General features: G+C 46.7%; 1 long non-coding RNA gene across 1 annotated transcript in view; it reads right to left on the bottom strand.

The window, feature by feature from the left end:
• LINC02763 (long intergenic non-protein coding RNA 2763) overlaps positions 1–8,924 on the bottom strand; it is a 59,685-nt gene that overhangs the window by 9,396 nt on the left and 41,365 nt on the right. The window lies entirely within an intron of this gene.

The raw sequence follows: 8,924 nt of genomic DNA, 5'->3' as shown, positions 1-8,924 counted from the left end.
GTAGGTGTTCAGTCAATGATAACTATGAGTTCTTCACAGGGTTATCTCTGAGCTCGAATGTGGAGGTGCTGTTTCAACCCCTTGCCAGCAAGTTTAAAGGATCTTCTCATCCAAAAAAAAAATGCCTTGCTTCTACAGCCCAATTTTTCCCATGCTCAGATCTGCACATCCCAGTATAAAGTATAAGGCCCAACAGGACTGAGAAGGGGTTATTTCTAGAAGATTCCATGATTCATAGCCATGGTGGAGTCCTCTCATCTGAAACAACAGAGGCTTCCCAAAACCCAAATAGTCAGAGCATAAAACTTCAAGAATCCAAAGCTTAAAAACTCAGGACGAATAGGGTCACCCAAATCAAAAAGGACGGGAGCTGGCAAAGTCTAGCTCTCAGTGAGCCAGGAGCCAAGACCCAGCCTGGGACAGTGAGGCCAAGAACAGGCGAGGAGACCACCAACAGCAAGGGCTTGGGGAGAGGGCCAATAAACTGGTTGGTGTTGGGGCTTGCATTCATGAGCCCTTTGTGGAGGTGGTGGGAGAGGGGAAGCCCCCTGAAAGGAGGTAGAACAAAAGTTGGCCTTCTCAATAAATGCAATGTGTTCATATAAATGCCATCAGAGAAGGTGGCCAAGGCAACCCAAGGCCATAAGAGAGTGCTTAAACTCCAGACAGGGAGAGGCAGAGGAAGAAAAAAGTACTTCCAGCTCTCAGCTTCTCTGAGCAATTTGCTCTTACCCCCCAACACTCAAGCCCCCCTCACTAAAACAAGAGCCCTGGGTTTCATTGGACCCACCTTCTCTAAAAGGCGATTTAGCAGCTATTTATTGTTGATCAAGTTTGTCCCTTGGGAGGCCTCACCCTTTACCCTCAAGCTATTTATCAAAGCCTTCCTACTGAGCTTATAGAATACTCTTCTTGATATGTTTGTTGGCCATTTGTATATCTTCTGAAAATCACACATCACTAATGATCAGGGCAATGCAAATCAAAACCACAATGCAATACCACCTTACTCCTTCAAGAATGGCCATCATCAGCCAGGCGCAGTGTCTCATGCCTATAATCCCAGCACTTTGGGAGGCCAAGGCAGGTGGATCACAAGGTCAGGAGATCAAGACCATCCTGGCTAACACAGTGAAACCCTGTCTCTACTAAAAATACAAAAATTAGCCAGGCATGGTGGCGGGCACCTGTAGTCCCAGCTACTCAGGAGGCTGAGGCAGAAGAATGGCATAAACCCGGGAGGCGGAGCTTGCAGTGAGCTGAGATTGCACCACTGCACTCCAGCCTAGGTGACAGAGTGAGACTCCAACTCAAAAAAAAAAAAATAATGGCCATCATCAAAAAATCAAAAAATAGTAGATGTTGGCATGGATGTGGTGATCAGGGAACACTTGTACACTGCTAATGGGAAGGTAAACTAGTACAACCACTATGGAAAACAGTGGAGAGATTCCTTAAAGAACTAAAAGTAGAACTACCATTTGATCCAGCAATCCCACTACTGGGTATCTACCCAGATGAAAAGAAGTCACTATACAAAAAAGATACTTGTACATGCTTGTTCATAGCAACACAATTCATAATTGCAAAACTGTGAAACCAACCCAAATGTCTATCAATCAAGGAATGAATAAAGAAACTGGTGTGTGTGTGTGTGTATGTGTAGATATATGTATATGTGTGTATATATATGTGTATGTATGTATATATGTGTATATATATGTGTGTGTATATATATATGAATGTGTATATATATGAATGTGTATATATATGAATGTGTGTGTGTGTATATGTATATATATATATATATATATATATATATATATATATATGAATGATGGAACACTACTCAGCCATAAAAAGGAATGAATCAATGGCATTTGCAGCAACCTGGATGGTATTGTAGACTGTTAGTCTAAGTGAAGTAACTCAGGAATGGAAAACCAAACATAGTATATTCTCACTCATAAGTGGGAGCTAAGTTATGAGCATGCAAAAGCATAAGAATGACACAATGAACTTTGAGGACTCAGGGAGAAAGGGTGGGAAGGGGGTGAGGGATAAAAGACTACAAATTGGGTGCAGTGTATACTGCTCGGGTGATGGGTGCACCAAAATTGCACAGATCACCACTAAAGAACTTACTTATGTAACCAAACACCACCTGTCCCCCAGAAACCTATGGAAATAAAAATTTTTTTAAAAAAGAATACTCTTGTTGTGAGAAGTTATTTCTATTTAACCACTTGGCAATGTTGACATACTCTTAGAGACTGGGGTCCAGGAAATGGCCTGGCTGGCCCAGCTCTTTCAGGGAGTGTCAGCAGGGCCCATAGAACTAGTGGAAAAGCCTAGACCAGTTACTCAGACAACTCAGGCCACATTGGTGTCTAGATTCACCCATGTGTATACATTATCAGGCTAGGTTCCAGCTGCTAATCCTAGATGAGGGTATATTAGGGTGTGTGTATGCGCGCACTCACTTGTGCACACACACAGCAGCTCGGGCTGGCTTAAGGCCTGAGAAGTTGGGGTACACATGTCTTAGTAAACATCCTTTCACATCCAGGACCAATGTTACCTTCAGCGGTTTGGGATCTGGCTCCTAGAGATAGCTGGATGGCTGCTGGGGTGTGGTCCACACCCTCTCATGATTGTTCTGGCCTTCAGGTTGTCTGTTCCACATATCCCTAAGGCTGTCCAGCCTGGGATTTCTACAAGACAACTCTGGACTCGGAGGTGCTTGGGGAGCATCTCTCACTGAATGCTTCCTGCCTGTCTACTAAGAACTGGAACTGGCTTCTGGGATCATGGTTTATCCACAGCAGTTCAGGAACAGGAAAGCTTATTAAAAGCATAAAATCTCCTTGGATTTTTTAAAAAGGAAAAAAAACATTCCACAACAGTTCCTACTAAAACCAATTAGAGATAAAAACCAGGAGTTAGGACTCTTGGAGAGAGAGTTCCCCGAACTCAGTTTGTGATGGAGCTGTGGTAGAATCCGGAATGACATGCTGCCTCTCTATTTCTGGTTTCTATTCCTGCTTCTGCTTCGGCTTCCGTCTTGCCTTCCTCCCTTCCCTTTCACCTTCTTTCACCTCCTTTCCCCTTCTTTTTTCTCTATCCTTGTTTCTCTGTCTGCAGGAATTGAAATGTACAATCACGGGCCACTCAGCAGGCTGGCTGGCTACCATCACCAGCCTTCTTTCCCTCCATCACAGGTCATGAGGCTGCAGTTGCCTTGGAAAAATTCTGGTGCTACCCTCCTCAGTACAGGGAAATTTTCCTGGCTCCATCTTTTTCATTTTGAAGTGGTTTTCGTTTTCATGTCATTTCCCATTTCTATCCAATGGCCTCATGTCTGGATTTACTGTCTCTTCCCAGCCCCTTTGGTTTAATGGCTCAGCTGGGGGATCTGGGCTCTGATTTTTGTTTCCTTTGGGTTAGGTCTTCTCAGATCACCTTTATTTCTACCCTGCCTGGATCACGGTAGAAGCATCAGAAGGGTATGTGATGGCCTCAAGAAAGTCCAAATGCAAAGATACTCCGCCTCCTCAACCCTTGTAAGGCTGGTTGGACACACGTAAAATCAGGAATTGCTGTTAGGATGAGAAAGGTTTATCAAGCTCATGTTTTAAGCTCTGAGTTAATGTTGTTTTAAGCTGACTCAGTCATTAGATTCACACAGCATTGGCTAGGGGCGAGGGGCAGGGGGCAAAAGAGAGAGGAAGGAAACCAAGTGAGTAGGGCTGGAGAAACAGTTTGGGATTTGGGAGCTGTGGGAAGTGAGACAATTAGGGAGGAAAAGGGGGGATTTCTGAGAAGTGGTATGTGGGTGAAATGGATTCCTCTTAGCATTCTTTAAGAGATCTCAATACAGATTTAAATCAAATTATTATTTGTTGGTTGGCTTGCTCTTCTCCAAATGCAGCTCTATACAGAAACTAAGAAACACAGAGCCACAGCTTTTTTCAGTTTATATCAAGACAGAGCCTAAGCTCCTCATCATGGCGGACCAGGTCTTGCAGACACATCTCTCACCATTGTTCCATTGAGAGTTCACATTCAGCCAGACTGGGCTATTTCAGATCCTTTTAATAGGTCAGGTTTTTACTCCCTCTGTCTGAAACTACCTTCCTATTCCCTTTCTGCCTTTCTTAGTCAGTTCATGCTGCTATGAGAAAAGACCATAAACCAGATGGCTTATAAACAGGAGAAAATTATTTCTCCAAGTTCTGGAGGCTGGGAAGTCTATGATCAAGGTGCCAACAGGTTTGGCTTCCTGGTTCATACAGGGCATGTGTCTCATGTGTCCTTACCTGGTGGAAGGGGGCAAGGCAGCTCTCTGCGGCCTCTTTTATAAGGGCACTTACCCCACTCATGAGGGTTCTGCCCTCATGACTTGATTACCTCCCAAAAGCCCCACCTCCTAATTCCATCACATTGAGGGTTAGATCTCAACACAGGAATTTTGGGGAGACACATTCAGGCCATAATACTTCCTTTTTCCTAGCCAATTCCTACTCACAGTTTTAGCTTAGATGTCACTACCCAGCAACCCCAAATCTGGATTCCATGGCTATCTTCTGTCTCCCATAGCACCCCAAAATAATTCTTTCAGACTACATTGTAAGTGTGGATTTGTTGTCTTCTCTACCCGATTATAACCGTTACAAAGGCAGGGGCTGTCTGTCTCACTCACCCCTCTGTGTTTAGCACAATGTCTGATATAGCCTAAACGCTCAATAAATGTCTACTGAATGGATGACTCTGCTCTGACACTGAAGCTTCTTCCAAAATACCAGGATGACTCCTGATGTTCCATATTTCTCCACCCCTGGTGCCACTTATGCCTCCCTTCCTGACAGTTTTCAGACTCCGGAGCAGAGAGTTCACCCACTTCTTTCCCTGGAAGCAAGAATGGAAAGAGCCTCAGCTCCTGGCTCCAGGCAGGCTGTTACCCAGGGGCTCACAGAGCATGAGCAGCCTCCATGGAGTGGGAAGGGCTCTGTGGTGGACCCTCCAGCAGGCAGCATAGCCACCTGCCAGGTGTTCACCTCTCCAGGACTGCCTCTGCCTAGCCTGGACGTAGAACCTAATCTCAAAGAGGACTTTTGTTTTTTAAGGATTTCCTTCCTCAGGCTGGATTTCTCTCCACTTTCCCAAATCCCTGCTGTCCCTAGGATAGGACTCATTTATTCATCTCAGTAAACAAACATGCACTGAGCACTTACCACAGGGAGGATCCCACAACTCGCCCTTGTTATTGTGTAATGTGCAGTCATCTGGTAGAGGCTGCAACCACCCAAAGACACAATCAGAAAGCATGTGGAGGGAGGGGGTCCAGAGAGAAGTCTAATCCAGTCTGAGGGCACTCCTCCAGCCCACTGAGACATCCCTGGGGGATCCTCATTCTTTCCCAGTCAGCCCTCTGTTCTCCATTTATCTCCTTTTCAATGATTCTCTCTTTTCCTTCTTCCCTAGACATCTGGAGTCTCCTGCTGATGTGGGCAGTTTCCTGCTTCTCCTGTAGATAGTGAGAGCCTCACACCCCTACAGGGAGGTGTTGCCTGCAGTCTCAGCTCAACACCCTGGTCACCCTTTGCTCGCACTTGCTGACTTAGTCAGACCTCAGATTGAAGCATCTGAGGATGATGGGCTGTGTGACTAAGGAAGGGGCTGCCCCACCCAGAAGTTTAGATTACATATTTGTGTGCAGGACCTAGCACAGATAGGTCTACCCAGCATAGCTTTTTCTAACTTTGATTTAGACTGAACTCTAGAAGAGCCAAGCAGAATGTAAACCTCATGTTGGGGAGGTCAAGTTACTTTCTAGCTCAAGATTCTAGAGAGACAATTTAGCAACGTGGGCTTTGAGGTCAGGCTGCTAAGGTTCAAATCCCAGCTCTGATACTGGTTAATTAACCATTAGTGGAGTTATTTATCCTCTTTAAACCTGAGTTTCCTCAACTGTAAAACGGGGTAATAATAGCTCATACTTCATGGTGTTTCTGTGAGGATTAACTCAGATAATTTGTGTAAGCCTTCCATAAAGTGCCTGACACATGGCACTCAATAAATGTCAGCTTTATTTTTGGAAACCCGTTTTAGGTATTGGATAGCCCAGACCCCAAGCAAGGCTCTGTGGGAGCCACATCTTGCTGAGAGTGACAGGAAGAAGTTATTTTTAAAACAGATTACATTGCTGGGTTAAGTCCCACTTTTGGACTCTGTTGCCTTTCTCCTTTGATTCCTTCTAGGTGAATCCTAGACGGGTGCCCAGCATTTTGCTTCAATCAACTCTAAGGAAAACACACTCTGGAAAGTCTGCTAATCTAGTCTAGCAACCCAGGGCTGGAAGCTAGGACCAACTAGAGTGACTCACAGCAAATCTCATCTTTCCCTGGAGATGCAGAAAGGAAAGACACCAGACACCGTCACTGAAACTGCCTTGCAAGCCCCCACCTCCCATCACTGCACCAGGAACTTGTGTTTCTCACTTATGACTTGACCCTGGAGGGCTCTCCTCCTCTATGACTCCCCTCTGAGGATGCGGTCACTGCATCAGCCATCTCAGGCAGCACCCTTGAGTTACATGCAAACTGCTTCCCCTCAAAGTTGCGGTACACACCTTACACAGCTGGTATGGTGGGCCGTTGTCAAGTTTCCTGGCTGCCCAGCCCCTTTAAACACCCTTCTTACATTAGAGGAATTTTCCATCCTATGCATCCTGCCTCCTAAAAGTAGAAACAATAACAGTCACTTTCCCAGCCTCCTTTGCAGCTAAGACATAAGCAGGTGGCTGAGGAGCTGCTGGGATGATAAGGTGACATTCTGGGGCCAGATGTGGCATGGACACTGAAGGCAGCAGTGGTGACAATGGTCATGTTCCTGGCAAATTGTGATACAAATTAGAACATCCAGTTGGCGGCAGTGGCGGTGCCACAGCAGTTTTCTCATTAAGCCAGTTCTGCCACGTGTAGTGGAACATTATTCTGCACGTGTAGCCTGGGGCCTGGTTTCCCAGGCTCTGCTGATTCTGTGAGACACCCAACATCCTGTTACTAAACCTTTCCTGCTGTGTCAGCCAGAATTGGCTTCAACTGCTTACCATGAGGAACCCCGATTCCTACAGGCAAAAACCACAGGGAACACATGGTGGCAACATAGAAGTCAAGTCTTACTGAGATCTCTCTTGCTTAATAGATATGTCCAAACCCTTTAAATTCCTGTGCCCCTGGTCCTGTCCCAAAAGGAAACCTCAGACTTTATGTTTTTTTAGGCAAGTGGAGCAGGTTGTGACCCTGCAATCCAGCCTGAGAAGGCATAAACAGCATCTCAGCATTTGTCAAAGCAGCTTCCTCCAGGGGAGAGGTCAAAGCTGTCTTTGTTGGGATGATTCCAAAACAGGCTCCAGGGGCCACAGCTACAGGCTGAGACCAAAGGCCCTCCTCAGGCAGCTGACACACAGTAAGCAAAGGGCCCGAGGTCATGCCTGGGTCCAGAGCTTGAGGGCTCTGAGGTCAGGCCAACACAAGGAATGGTGACGGGAAAGACTGAGGAGCTCAGGCCCGCTCAGAGACATGTCATGAGTTCCTTGGCTGCAGCTCCTGTCCAGGGCTTGGGAGCAGCCACGTTAAGCCCTTCCAGAGCCCTGGCACTGCTGACAGAAATACTGGCAAGGTGCCTGGTCACATATAAACAAATTATCCTTCCCACACTCCTGAGGAACTGAAGAAGGAAGGCATGGAAGACCCTGAGAACCATGCTGGGACTTCTCTACACGCTCCCTGCTAAGGGTCTTCCTGTTTCCAAAGACCCTCTGGTCAGGACACTTGTCTAGGAGACAACTGGCCTCTGGCTAAGGAACAGAGGGGAGATGAAGACACGGGGTAGCTGGAATGCAAGCTGTGAGTTTGGAGCTCTCTGAACCATCTCTTCCAGGTGACTGGGGGTAGCTGGAATGCAAGCTGTAAGTTTGAAGCTCCCCGAACCATCTCTTCCAGGTGACTGCTTGGCTGAGGTCAGAGAGTCTGGGCCAATATGCAAAAAGAACCATGCCAAGCAGAGCAAGAGGAGAGCTCCAATGTCAGAGTGCGAGGTGTTGAACCCACTGTGCCAGATCTACTTCTGGTGACAGGGGGCAAGAAATTTCCCTTTCTGCTCAAGCTAGTTCGGGGGGTGGCTTTTGCCACTTGCAATCAAAATAGGCCAGACCACCACAGGTTCCTGAGACAGAGCCTTAAACATGTTTCCTGTTCTCTGTATGCTCACAACAGTGGGGACAAGCCATCATTTCATGGAAGGAGAGCCACTGTGCTTCTTCTGGATAGAAAGGCAGCTCTTGTTAGTGCATGACCTATGATTACCCCACAACAGAGCTAACATCATTCAAACATCCACAAAATAGCCTACAGTCATGCACCAAGTCACAGCCTTTTGGAGAAGCTTCAGCATGAAGTCCAGAAGACTTTAGTCTGTAATTCCATATAGATACAGACAAAAGATCCAGGTTTTTTCTCCCCTCCAGCCCTCATCTTTGGCCCTGACACCCTCGGATTGCCAGGCTTGTCTCAGAAGATGCTGGGAACTGTCTAACTGCCCCTACCAAGTTAAGCACAGCAGGAGGCAAATAAAATGAGGCCCCGCCATCCCATTGTCCTGGGCCCCTCCCACCTTGGGCTGTCCAGATTCAGGGCTGGGCACCAAGCTTAAGCCACACTCCCTACATTCTTTTTTTGGGAAGCTGGCACAGACCTCCAGGCCTTAGCCCAGCAGCAACTGTAGCTTTGTTACCCTGGGGCATGGAAATTTCCCTCTCCCTGACAGCCTCATTCATTTGTCTCTTAATTAGACACAGTCCCCCACGGTGCTGTGTCCTCCACTGTGATCTTTGACAAGCTCCTAGAGGGCCTCCCCACTGA

Source organism: Homo sapiens, chromosome 11, assembly GCF_000001405.40.
Source record: "Homo sapiens chromosome 11, GRCh38.p14 Primary Assembly".
Lineage (NCBI taxonomy): Eukaryota > Metazoa > Chordata > Mammalia > Primates > Hominidae > Homo > Homo sapiens.
Note: the sequence above shows the minus strand (reverse complement) of the source record. Positions and strands in the feature narration are given on the sequence as shown.